General features: G+C 35.3%; 1 protein-coding gene across 25 annotated transcripts in view; it reads left to right on the forward strand.

Annotated features, from left to right (window-relative positions):
* Nucleotides 1-14465, forward strand: part of SCEL (sciellin) — a 109558-nt gene that overhangs the window by 93947 nt on the left and 1146 nt on the right. For all 25 annotated transcript variants that reach the window (NM_144777.3, XM_011535290.2, XM_011535283.2 and 22 more), the window contains 4 exons: nt 4727-4798; nt 7468-7542; nt 11024-11132; nt 13054-13156. In NM_144777.3, the coding sequence (NP_659001.2) occupies nt 4727-4798; nt 7468-7542; nt 11024-11132; nt 13054-13156 (359 nt within the window). The remainder of the gene's footprint in view (nt 1-4726; nt 4799-7467; nt 7543-11023; nt 11133-13053; nt 13157-14465) is intronic.

Here is a 14465-nt window from a genome sequence, read left to right on the forward strand (position 1 = left end):
GGCAGAGTAATTAGAGAAAAGGCATACAAATTTATTTAACCTGTGATCGGAGACTTCAGAATGAAGACCCAAAGATACAGGGGAAATTGTCCATTTAATACTTAGGTTCAATAAAGTACAGAGAGCCATGTAGAAATATGATTGGACAAAAATAATATGACCTAATGGCAAGAGACTGAGTGGGGAAAGCCAGCAAGGCCTGTGTCCCTAGATTATTCTTAACCTCTTGAGCATGCATTCCTTCCTTCTGGGCATGGGGCAGAATTCTTCTGGATTGGGGGTCTTATGACCTACAGTCAAGCAAGGGATGTCAGAGAATTTCTTTATGGCCAGTTTTTACATAGAAAGAAAGGTGAAGGGATAGGTAGAGTAATAATTTTAGGTTTTATGGCTGGCTTTGGGGAAAACAGGTTTTGGTTTCCTTGGGGAAGGAAGGATTCTTGCCTTGGGGAAGAGGGATTCTAGTTTCTTTGGCTATCCTTGGGGGAGAATGAGACTGAGACAGGAGGGCAGGAGAAGGTCAGAGAAAAACTTTTGCTTCTGAGGCTGCTTCTGAGGCTTTCATTTTGGGGTACTTTTTCTGAGACTCAACAGGAATAAGTTTAAATATTTTTATTTCAATTCTAAATGATAGAGTCTTTCCCTAAACTAAATGGTTTGTGACTATGAGTGAAATTAATTTCATAGGGCCATTTCACAGATTTTAAGAACTGTCATACTTTTCAAATCATATAATTATAAGGTGGCCAGACAATTTTGTTTATCTATTCATCACCTGATGACATTTGGATTGTTTCACTATTGGGTTTTAATTCACTATTTTGATTAATGTTGCTATGAACATTCATATATGAGTTTTTGTGTGAAAATGTGTTTTTATTTCTCTTAGGTGTATACCAGGAGTGAAATTGCTGGATTGTAGAGTAATTCTATGTTTAACCATTTGAGGAACTGCTAGACTGTTTTCAAAGCAGCCATATCATTTTATATTCTCACACGCAGTGTATGAGGGTTTTAGGTAAATTTTCAAGGTGAATTTACACTGTAGGGAACATTTTCTCAAGTGTAAATCCATTTGGAATTCTATAAGATTCAATACAATGTTTGGGTTTGTATTTGTAGAGTCATTGCTTAATTAAGAAACAAAACTGTGACCATTGATTGGAAATTACAATTCAGCAATTTGTTTCAATGGAGGATAACTTCCTAACAATTAAGCCATCAAGTGACATATGCTATGAGTCATGAGTTCTCCTTTACAAGGATTATTCAAGGCATTTGAGAGGAATAATTTGGCAGAGGTTCTTCTGTTGCGCTGTTTCCCAAACTTTTGGGTACATCAGAATCACCTGCTATTCTAGGGACTATACTTTGAGAATCAATGCTCTTTTGAGTAAGAGGTTGGACTTCCCAACCTCTAAGGCAGTGATTCTCTACCTTGACTGTATAAGGAGCTCACTGGAGAGCTTTAAAGGTTCCTAGTGACCAAGCTGTACCCCAAACCAGTTAAATTAGAATATCTGGATAGGGGGCCCAGTAGCATTTTAAAAGGCACTATGGGCTGTTTTGTTGGTTGCCAAAGTGTTGTCTCTCCAACTCTATTCCTATGGTTCTAAATAACAAAAAATTAGTCTTACAACTTATTGTCAATGAAGATACATTTTTTGTTGTAAAATCTATCACTATCCCATGAAAAACAAAGACTTCCAGACTATCACAGACCCTAGGAGACCAAAGAGACATGATGGATATGTAGATATGATATCCTGGATTGGATTCTGAAGCAGAAAAAAGTCACCAATGTAAAAACCAGTGAGACATGAATCTGTAGTTTAGTTCATAGTATGGTACAAATATTAATTCTGTAGGTTTGACAGCTCTGTTATAATTACATATTAACCTTAAGGGAATCTGGGTGAAGGTGTACAGGGACTTTCTGTGTCATCTTTGGAATTTTTCTGTACATTTAAAATTACTCCAAAATAATGGTTTATTTTTTAAAATTATCATCCTCAAAGTCTACATGAGGAGCAAAATCCATCAAAGAATTTGTTGTCCCACATTCCAAACCTAGCATTTGGTTTTTGTTCACAGTTATAAAAATTAAATCTTCCATGAAGGCATTGTCATTAATCACATTATAAACACAACTGGGAAAAGATACCAGTATTAGTCAGCATGGGCTGCCATAACAAAATACCACAGACTGGGTGGCTTAGACAATGGACATTTATTTTCTCACAGCTCTGGAGGCTGGAAGGCCAAGAGCAAGGTCCTATCAGGGTTGGTTTTGGTGAGGCCTCTCTTACTGGCTTGCAGATGGCCACCTTCTCACTGTGTACTCACATGGCCTTTCCTCTGTACACAGAAGGTAAGATATCTCTGGTAGCTCTTCCTCTTCTTATGAGGATTCCAGTTCTGTGGCATTAAGGCCCCACCCCCATAACCTCAGATGACCTTTATTACCTCCTTATTAACCCTGTCTCCTAATATAGTCACATTGAAGGTTATGGCTTAAACATGTAAATTTTGGGGGAATACATCTCAGTCCATAACAGTACTGTTGGCAAATCACTTATCTCTCCTGTTTGTGGATTTTGCAAACTGGTGATTTTTGATATTCTATTGCTGAGGACAGTGCAAATGCATTTCAAACTCACTGATAATCTTTGTCCTTTGACGCTGTCTACTTCTTAAAGTTGGGTTTTGTATTGTATATTATATGATCTGAACATTTTCAAGTGATTCTTAGCTAGGTTTGTTATTCTTGGGATGACATATTCTAATAATCGTGTTAGAAAACCTAATAATATTAATTCCACCTTCTCATCACTTAATAAAATTTTAGCTCACCTGTATGTTTTGTGAAACATCTGCCTTAAAACCAGACGGTTTTCTGTATGCCAGAGATAATATGTGAACAAATGCTTTCCTCTTCTTTAAGAGCTTTATCAGCCTGTTTGAGAATGATAAGGCTTGATTAAGACCTAAACCCTCATTTAGGTTTTCATGTCTCTTCTATGTCAGAGTTTACTAACATGGAGGAGGAAAAGGAGCTTAAATTTTCTCTATTTTTGCATTAAGAATCTCCTCTCTTCCATAGGAGAAAGCAAATATGCCAACATTTTGTTAAGCATCATGATATTTTTAGATTAGCAGAAATCTAGGTCAGAGTTCTTCTGCCATCTTCAAAATATTGCCTTCCATTAAAACCAAAATGAAGACTGGAATTTCTCAAAGCAACCTCTGGATCATTTTCATTCAATTGATAAATTCTTAGATATATTGTACATGGGAAGCTTTCTATAATGGCATTGCTGGTGTGAAAATGTTACAGGAACCAATTTCAGATGATTTCTGTCCTTGATAAAAAGGGCAATGTTAGCTAATGTGGCACATACCTATAGATTATTCTTAAAGGTAAGGCAGAGGTTTCCGTAGAGGGAGTAAAATAGCACATGCATTCTATTTGTGTTATCTGTGTAGAAGCCAGGCAAACACAGGCCGGGCGCGGTGGCTCACGCCTGTAATCCCAGCACTTTGGGAGGCCGAGGCGGGTGGATCATGAGGTCAGGAGATCGAGACCATCCTGGCTAACAAGGTGAAACCCCGTCTCTACTAAAAATACAAAAAATTAGCCGGGCGCGGTGGCGGGCGCCTGTAGTCCCAGCTACTCGGGAGGCTGAGGCAGGAGAATGGCGTGAACCCGGGAAGCGGAGCTTGCAGTGAGCCGAGATTGCGCCACTGCAGTCCGCAGTCCGGCCTGGGCGACAGAGCGAGACTCCGCCTCAAAAAAAAAAAAAAAAAAAAAAAAGAAGCCAGGCAAACACAAAGAGAGTCACATTGTAAAATAATGTTAATTGAGAAGAACTTTAATAACACAAAAAACTTCTAGTGACCTTGATTTGAAGTGCAAAATACTTGTGTTTGCTTTCTGAGGCTAGATGCCCAAGTCAATGGGTTCACCAATGCTCTACACAACCAGTCCACAAGAATTGCTTCCCATTCTTATGAAGCCAGGAACAATCTCAGGTACCGCAGTCAACTGCAGAATAAATGACAGGACTATTCTCCCTTTGTTTATAAAAATACCCCACATCCAACTTGACCCTTTCTTTGAAATGCAGAAATTTCTAATTTTATGTGGGGTTACCTGCATAAACAGCTTTACACAAAAGTATTGAGTTAGTGAATGTGTCATTGTGTGACATCTGGATAGGAAATTATCAAACGTGATTTTCCCTTAAAAAGTCTACAATTTAAAAAAGCATGATGGTGACATTAGTGTGACATTCTTTAGGTAGATCTAAAGGCTTCATTAAATCAGATATTGTCATGATAGCTAATTAAGGTCTACTTTTGGTTTGAGGTTTATGAAGAAAGTTATGGTTTGGAAATATGAATGAGACATCAGAGAAAGAGACACTAGAACATATTATACAAATATTCAAAAATAATCCTCATATTCTACAAAAGAATTACTGAGTGATCAAGTTTTGTAACAATGCTTAGGAAGTAAACCAAGACAGTGGAAGTTAAAAACAAAATGGAAGACAAAAAAATTTTTGCAGTGCTGTGTTAATACCACTCTAACATTCATGTTTCAAAGTTATAGTTCAGAAGGAACATATATTCATTACATTTTGCATTGAATTAGAAAATAGCCTTGTTTTTATTATCCTTGCAAATAAACTTTAATCATGAAGTAAAATGATTTGTTTTGCAGCTCTAACACTGGAGCCAAGCAGGCAGGACCACAGGATACTGTTGTGTACACAAGGACATATGTGGAGAATAGGTATTCAAAATTTATTTCAAATATATTGCTTCATTTTATAATTTTGAAAGGATCTATGTTTAATAAGAGATGCTATTGTTTTAGAGTGTGCTTCTTTCAAATAGAAGACCGTTTATAAGTACATTGAGTTCTATATATATATAATTCTCTATAATGTTTCTGATATTATGTACTTGGGCTATAAATAATTATAGTCATTAGATGAACTCAGTAATATTTTAGTATAACACATGTATACATAATAGGGTTGCCATTTGAAAGTTCTCACATAAATGTATATAACTATATGGTTAAAATAAGCTTTATAAAATGCACAACTATTCCTATACTAATTTGGAGTTCCACTTGAATTAAATAATTCTATCTACTTTTGTTTACTGCCAATCTAAAATAAGGGGTATAAATTTGAGTAGTGCTATCTTGGCCCAAGTTATGGGATATTGATGTTTCAATTGAAATCTGCTGCTTGGAGTGATGGATATTGAGGAAAATGTAAACCAAGGTCAGGGCTCAATAATTCATTTGGTTTTCAAGGAATATAAAACAAGAATTGTCCCAATTGTGAAGTACAATAATGGTGGGGCACACAAATGCTGGTATACATGACCCATATGTTAAGCTAAGCCCATTTCAAAGAGGTCTAAGAGAAGAGTATTCAGGGAAGCTTCTGTGTGGATGGCAGTCGTGATGGGGATCCAGGAAATTCAATACATGTCAGGAGGTAAGCGATCTTCCAAAAAAGGTTTCTCAAACCCATGCATAATTTACCTTGTAAAATGCAACATCAATATTGATTTTTTCCTTAATCCAATTCTCACTCTCTGGCGTGTTCAAGTCAGTGATTTCTGCTGTCTTTCAATTAAACTAAAAGTTAAAACACTTCAGAGTAAATTTTAAAACACTAAGGAGTTACTAAATCTGAAATAAATTGATAAAAAGATGAGTAATATCAAATAGTATCATAGTGAAGGCAAGGCGTGAAATATTGGCGAACAATAACATAGGCTTTTTTTCTATATTTACATAATAATCTCTCACATTTTTATCCTTATGGGATGTCACATCAATACATTTTGATTTTTAAAGAAATTTCTTATGGGAACTAATGCCAAACAACCACAATATTGATTTTTGAATAATGAATGATTTATTTAAGAATAGGAATATTCTGCTAAACATCGTACTCGAGATTTTTTAATTAATAGGATAGATGGATAAAATAATATTAACTTGATTCATGGAAGTACCAAGACTAAAGCATACTTATTTTATTATGATGACTATGGTTTATTTTTTTAAAAGTATATACTGAATACCCTGTACATATGTGTATCATGTTCACATATAGAACAGTAATTCTCAAAGCATAGTCTCTGGGCCAGCATCATCAGCATGACCTGGGAACTTTCTAGAAATAAAAATTCTTTGGCCTCACTCCTGCCTGCTAGATCAGAAACTCTGCAGCTCAGGCCCAGCAACCTGTGTTTTAACAAACTCTTCAGATGTTCCTGATGTGCATCAGAGTTTGAGCACCATCATTATAAAAAGATAATATTAATATTGTGGCATATCAGGCTAATAGTCTGTTGACCGGAAGCCTCTGAAAGGATTCGTTGCCTCCTGTACCTTAACCTAGCAAGGATGGTGATGTACCTCAGACATCCTTAAGTTTCCTAAAATCTACATTGACAGGCAGCGTGGTACAGTATGGAGTCCCAAGAGTCATATTTGAGGTTGAATCCTTCTTTGTCGTTTCCTAACCGTGTAGCCCTAGTGATGTTACTCTTCCAGTCTCAAGTTTCCTCATCAATAAAATGGGAATCATGACATGCATCCTCCATAAATATGTGCAAATTTTTTTGTAGCATTGTGGGATTATGTGTTTCATAAAGTAGATTTTAGTTCTGACAGCAGTCTGCCTCCAGGAAATTTGGAGAGAAAGATAGGTTTCTCATTTAAAAATCCCAAGTGAGAGCCATGTGGTTATCAATCATTGTATGAAATAAAGAAACATATTGCTCCTATTCTTAATATATGCCCAGATAGCATAAGTACTTGGAAAGCAATTATGGGAGCCAGCTGGTTAGGACATTACAGATTTTATTTGTCTCCAGGAAATAGTGGTGTTTAAAAGCTGGGATAATCTACATAATAGAAAACAGAAGACTTTTAAAAATCATACTTCTTTGCTTTCATTCTAAATTATTCTTTCTTGGATATATTCAAGTAAAAATAAAAATTTTGCATGCTTTTTCTAAAAGTTCAAGAATCTCAGTTTCTCTCTGTGAATGGTGTATGTGTCTGTGTGCTTGCCCTGTTTGTGCTTTGTGTATTTTCTTTATCTACTTTACATTCTGTGTAGCTTTCTTTAGTAAACAGATGAGGTGCAAGTATAAATTTCATGAAAGATGAGGACTTCTTTTCCTGCTCACACTTGTTCCTGTATTCCTTACCCTACTCTCTATTTATTTTGGTATATATGTCAAATTGGGGGTGACTTGTGTATCAATATTTCTACAGATTAAAAAAATGTGTCAGTACATCATCCTGGCTTGTAACATACACAAAGATAAAATATTATGAGGCTTCATGAGGTGGTGTGAGTGTGTTTTCTTATCTACATAAGGAAAATCACCTGATTCTCACATGTCCATATATTTTGTTCCTAGTAAATCACCCAAGGATGGATATCAGGAGAATATCTCTGGAAAATACATACAAACTGTTTATTCAACTTCTGATAGGTGAGTATGTCTTTATTTCCATACATAAAAAGTACACACATACAGACACACACACACATATATATATATATATACACACACACAGGCACACACACATATATATAAATATATATACATATATATAAATATATATACATATATAAACATATATACATATATAAACATATATACATATATAAACATATATACATATATAAATATATATACATATATAAATAAATATATATATATATATATTTCTTGCTGTTCTTTGTACTTGGAGATGGTTCTGCTGATGTTTCTTGTCATGTATGTGCATGGGCAGACCAAAGTGCAACTCAGTAACAACTTCTGCATCCAGGAATTTGTTTCTTGGATTCCTGGCTGTTGCTGCTGTCTGATTTTGATGCATATTATCAAAAGACCTTTCTGTGCCTTACAGCTGCCTCCCAGGCCAGCCCCTCTGCTGCTGGTGATCCCCAGGAGGCCCCAGGACTGCCACATTATTAGCGTTTAGGCTTCATTGCATCCATAGACTGTGCCATCAATCCCCCCTTCTTGTGCTTTTCTGCAGCCTTCTTGGCTTACAAACAGCCATGCAGATGTGCTGCTGTGACCCACTCTGGGCCCAAGCTCAGTTCCCAGGAGTGGAGTCATGATGAGTATTGATTGAGTGCTGGTGAGCTGGCCCTGTTCCAGGTTTTTGCTGTTAGTGATCCTCTTTTACCATTCAATGTTCAGTGGAGCACCTAGGTGACACTTATGAGAGTATGGCATGCAGATTTCCAGTGAAGTAAATGAAAATAAATAATTAGTATTTCAACCCAAGCCCTGGAAACAAGCCATCATGCAAATGTCTGATGTTCCACTGATGTTGTTTCTTTATAGCAGGGGCTGGAGATATGACTCACTCAAGGTAGAGATATTTTATTTTCATATGTAGTCTCAGCTTCTAACACAGTGCTTGGTACCTAATGTGTACTCAGTAAATTTTTTTTAAAAAAACATGAACCTATGTTCCATTTTCTAAGGGAAACATGGGTGAACCAGGTATCAAAATTATATCCCTTTCTTGTCACTTTTCCAATATTTTGCCCATTAGCAATGCTTTGCTGAGTGTCTTGCCTGTAAGTCACACCTCTTTGAGTAGTAAAGTCATTGACACCAGCATTAGAACTACAGATATCATCTGGATAGCCAATTAAAAAAAACAGATCTAGGTTTTCACAATGCTTCAAAAAGATCTTTGACTAACTGTATGATCTTAATAAAGATAGTACCAACATCAGTGCATTTCCTGAGCTTGTATTTCTATTATTAAGGGAGGAAAACATTCTCCATAAAAGTATTGCTGTTAATAGAAAGACTTTAAACCCTATTCCTAAAATGGCTTTGAAATTTTTCCTAGTCATCAGCGCAGAAGTCAGTTCTCCATGAGACCAGTCAGTTATACAACCTTTTGCTGTTGATAGTGTGTGAAATTGGCGATGTTCTTACAGTTCTTATTTAAGCACGTCAATCCTGTTTAAAGTGGTTTCCCATGTAACCAGATAAAGTCCAACATCTTTTGCACATTCTCCATGGCCCTTCAGAACCTGCTCCAGCAGAATATTCACTGATGCTGAATCCCTCCAAACACCCTCCCAGAGTAGCAAGTTTGTATGTTCTGTTCACTCTGCTTGGAATTCCTCCACCAACCCCTCATCCCCACCCCACCAAGCCCACCTTGAGAGCTCTTTCCTCTTCAAACAATGCAGATGGCACTTTTTTCTGACAAGGCTTTCCTGACTTCACCCCAGGGGTTAGTGGTTCTCTTGGCTCTGTTCTCCTCAGTCTGTCCACGTACCTGTATTCCACTCTGCATTTCAACCCAAGCCCTGGAAACAATCATGCATGTTATATCATGCATCTAGTTTCCCCAGTGGAAAGAGCATCTTGTCAGAGGAGACTGGCTCACCACTCTTTGTATTTGCAGCTCCTAGATCAGTGCCTGTGGAATGGATGAAGGACATAGAGCACCTATTTTCTACTCTTGAAGTGCTTACAGTCTTAAATGGGAAATTTAAGTGTATGCATACATATGTGTGTGTGTTTATGGATAATCCATAGGAAAATATTTGCTAGGTAGCTATAAGCAAGTGGGTACAGAACAAATAAAAGCAGAAAATATTTATTTATATACATGAGACTTAGAAAGACATTACTAGAATGATTAAAAGTATAAAGCTAGATAAAGTTTATCTACTATAATGCCTTTCTTCTCCTACTTACTTTTCCTTTCCATTCTCTCTCCTCTCTGCTCCTACTTCTGGGCTTGATAATAGATTAGTGGTTCCTGGGTACGACTAACTCATTTCAACACAATGAGCGCATCAGATCTTTGGACTCATTGTGTTGGTACCACGCTGCCTCCATTCACATCTTCACTCTTCCACTCACTGGTTTCATGATAGTAGCAGGTTTCTTATCCTTCTGTACCTGTTTCTTTTTTAATAAAATGATGATAAAAATAATAATAGTGGCTTGTCAGGAATGTTGTGAAGAATAAGTGAGTATATAAGTGCAGAGAAAAGTGCACTTCATATATCATATAAAGGGCTATATAAATATAGCTTAATTTCACTACCCCATTACATATCCTACTCTGGAAATGTCAGGCCTGCATGCTAATATCCTGAAACTAGTATACTCTGCAGGGTGCTATTTAAGAGTGTCCTAAGACCTTAAAAAAGGAAAAGGATCCTTTCTTAAGGTTCTGGTGTGACTCAAGATATTTTGGATTCTGCTGATCACATCTACAGATCATTTATCATTGAACATTATTTTAACAAATATTTAGTATTTGTTATTTAATAAATAACAAAACTCTCTTTTCTTCCCCATCAAATTTGTGGTGGGGTTATGTCTTGCTGGAGGGTATAAATTTTGTCACGATAGGTATCCTTATATCCTGAGTCTTACAGTGGCACCAAGAGGAGTGTTTTGGTGACTCTGGCCCCTACAGTCCCAGGCACTACAGACTCATCATTTTGTGAGTTTATCTATGTGCTCTTGAATGGATTTCTATTTTGGGCCTGTTGAATATTCTGAGAGTTAAAAATGTATATTAATCTGCAGCATAATTTTTCCGTGTAATCTGTAACATGATATATGTAAATTCATAATTAAAAGCCCTCTAGTACTTCTGAGGAGTACTTGAGATATTTCCTAATTCAATTAGGAAACTGAACATCTTTGTCCCACCCAGATTTACTCTTGATTTCTGATGAATTAATAATTTGGGACTTTCTCTCATGTTAATTATTTGATATCATTTTGAGAAAACTAGAAGTCAATTATATTACTAGAATAAATAAACTCCAAACTTTCCTTGTTTTTTTGTGAAATTTTCTAAAGTAAAGTATCATCAAAATTAATATACCGTTGCCATGTGAGTTTATAGGGAATACATCTGTCTTCTGTATTATGGCAAATTTATTTTTAATTGCTTACATTTCTATAGGTCTGTCATTGAAAGAGATATGTGCACTTACTGCCGAAAACCCTTGGGTGTAGAAACTAAAATGATTTTAGATGAATTACAAATTTGCTGCCATTCTACTTGCTTTAAGGTAAGGATGTGTTTATTTCACTTAATTAAATAAAAAATTGCATAATAACTGGAATAAAATAATAATTTAATGTAATACATGAGATGAAGCAAAAACTTTCAGAAGCACTGTCAGCCACATTAATAGTACACTACTTAAATATTTCTGAGTTCTGCAGCCTAAACCTCAAATGTTTGTAATTACTATCTTGGCTTTAGGCTTACAGTTGATTACTGACACATTTATTCACTCTTACCCTAGAGATTTAAATCTGTGGGAAAAAAAACCCACTTGTTCTTTTTATAAAAGTTTTTGCAACAGTTTACTAAATTATGCATTACAGAAAATATGTGATGAAATCAAAACAAGAAAATAAATTGTTGAGAAGAAAGCTAGCAGTTTCTTACCTCATGAAATTAGGACCAATGGGTTTAACAATAGGTGAACGTCAGTCTGCTTTTGAGAGCATAATTAGTGGTAATTAATTGTGGCTCAATAAATACTAATAAAGCTTTTATTAGTAGACTAAAGCTTCATAGTTTGTGCTTTCATAGGACGTTTCTTTGCATTCTAACCATAACATTGGGTGGATCAACATCATCGTTTTTGGTGTAACTGCATAAGCAGTAAATGGGAATCTAAAGACCTGAGTTCTAGTTTTGCCTCTGCCTGTAACTATGTCCGTGTGACTTTGGACAACCACCTGAATTACCTTGGCCTCAGTTTCCCTAACTGTAAAATGAGGTGTTGACTAGACCAGTGGATCTCAACCCTGGCTGCATATTATAATCATCTGGGGAGATGAGGAAAAATAGAATGATCGGGACCAGCCCCAGTTAAATCATGAATCTTAGAGGTGATTATTGGGCATTGGTATTTTTAAAAAGCTCCTTGATTAATCTAATGTACAGTCAGTTGGAGAAACTATGGGCCAAATATATGGTTTCTTTCTAGTGCAACATTCTACGGTTGATACAAATGATCAAATCCAGTCAAAGAATGCAATACTTTGTCAATTGATTGCTTCTATTCCTATTACTTTCAAAAAGTGACACATAGCAATCAGAAATATAGTAACTCATTTTGAGCAAAACATTCCAATTTTAGGGCATAATGTACAGAATGCTATATAAAAATATAATCTCCAGGTTGTATAATTAGTTATGAGAACAAAGTTTTTTATTTATGAAATATATTCAATTAAACAAAACTTAGTCTATAGTTTTTTATTGAAAATTACTATGCAGAAAAATTTAAACAAGAATATTCTCCTGATCATTGCTTTTGGTAAATAGAAATATTTTCATTTATTACATTTTAGATCACTTATTTCTATTTTCAATGTAATTTCAATAAAATATTACCGAGAATAAAAACAAACATGTTCACACTCTTAGAAAAATACTGATTGTTCTATAGCCATAGCAATACAGAGCCACATGAACTGGTTTAGACACAACCAATTAATCAATGACAGTTTACTTCAGTAAATTTGCTTCTGAAAGCCAACCAATCAGTGACAGCCTCATGCTTTAAGGTCAGCCAATCAGCAGTGGACAGGTCTGAAGCAGCGGTCAGCCCTTTCCTACTTCTAACCAGCACAACTCAAAATAAACTTTTTCTCAAACCCAGTCAGATAAGCAGTTTATTTCTCTCCATGAGGTTGTGCCTGGACAGCATAACTAGCTCTCCCTTAAGTTAGCAAACAATAAATGCACCTTTGTGTTTTTTTGTTTGTTTGTTTGAGATATTGAGTGGTCATCTTGTCCTTGGCATAAACAATTTCTGGACATTCATATCTACTCCACTGTGAGTGAAGTAGAAAACTTCAGTGATAAACATCCCTTAAAAGTGCCTCGATGGTAGAGAGATGATGTCTGTTCCTCTAATAATCTAGATTTCATTTACAATGGAAACTTTATATATGTATTTTTTTCTTTAGTGTGAAATATGCAAGCAGCCTTTGGAAAATCTACAAGCGGGTGATAGTATTTGGATTTATAGACAGACAATACACTGTGAACCTTGCTACTCTAAAATTATGGGTAAGTGTTACACTCTAAGCATTTAACACTTTGGTTAACCTTAATGAGCATTTGGTATCATTTAAAATGATGTATTTTAATAAAGTAAAACATTTTACTAGTTATATTTAGTTAATAATTCAGCTGCAGATATTTATACTATGGTAGTATTTTGTTTAATGGTGTAAAATCAATCAACTTTTGTATTGTCTTCTGGTATCAGATTAGATATAGATACAACTAAACCAAAGGGTCATTTATTTTAGAAAATTTTCCGTTTTTTTCCAAACAAGAAAGTTATTGTCTACTCACATAATTGTTTAAATTGAAGTCCATATTCGTAAATGACATTTTATGCTTGCACTTGAATATTGTATAATTTTTAACTAAATTTGGTTATTGCATTAAATGCTTTTGAATATTACTTTTAAATTGAAAATTTAGTTAATTCTATGTAGTTTTACAAAAATATAGCATTTAAGTTTTCTATCCATCTAACATCAATGTTACCATAATTTGCACTCTTAATTAGCATATGTAATGTGAGAAAAGGATATTGAGGACCTGTGTTTTTAACTAACATTTTTTATAAACTACATATGAAAGTTTTAAAAGCTAATTTAAGAGATGTGCACATTGTATGGTAAATTAACAAGATTAAGTCCTGTGAAACTTGACTGGTTTTTAAAAGCTACTATCCGCATTTTCCTTTTAGATTCAATAGTAAGTAGATAAAATAACCAAAATAATATTGAGAAGACGGTCAACGGTACTATGTGAAAGGCACTTTTTCCTGCTGTCTTGTTGGTATAATGAATGAAAGAGGAACACTTGGGACCCCTACCTGGGATCCAAAGTATGGAATTTAATGACAAATGTGTGATATTAATGAGCTACTGGGAGACTACATCCAGAAAATGCTCTGAAAAAAATATCAGAAACCCACGTTCCATCAGGCTGCAGAATCAATTACAAGAACATACCTAATTATATTCATACTTTGCCTTCTATATTCTGCTTCCCCCAGAGAGTTCTCATATTCACTTTTCTTCCTGAGTTAGTAATCTTATGATGATCTAATGTTATATAATGGGTCTTGATGTGCATGGTGGTAGCTCTAAAATTTTTATTCTCCCAGAGTTCATGATGTGGCTTAGTGGGTGTGATTACCAAAAGACTCAGAAGTTTTTATGTCTTCCTCCCTATATGTACTCCCTAGGCATTGCATGTTTTATAATACATATAAGTTGTCAAGAGATGACTCTCAGACATCTCATAAATATGCATACCAGGCATCTGGTACGTCATGTACACAGTATGACCAAAAGCC

This window comes from Homo sapiens, chromosome 13 (genome assembly GCF_000001405.40).
Source record: "Homo sapiens chromosome 13, GRCh38.p14 Primary Assembly".
Classification (NCBI taxonomy): domain Eukaryota; kingdom Metazoa; phylum Chordata; class Mammalia; order Primates; family Hominidae; genus Homo; species Homo sapiens.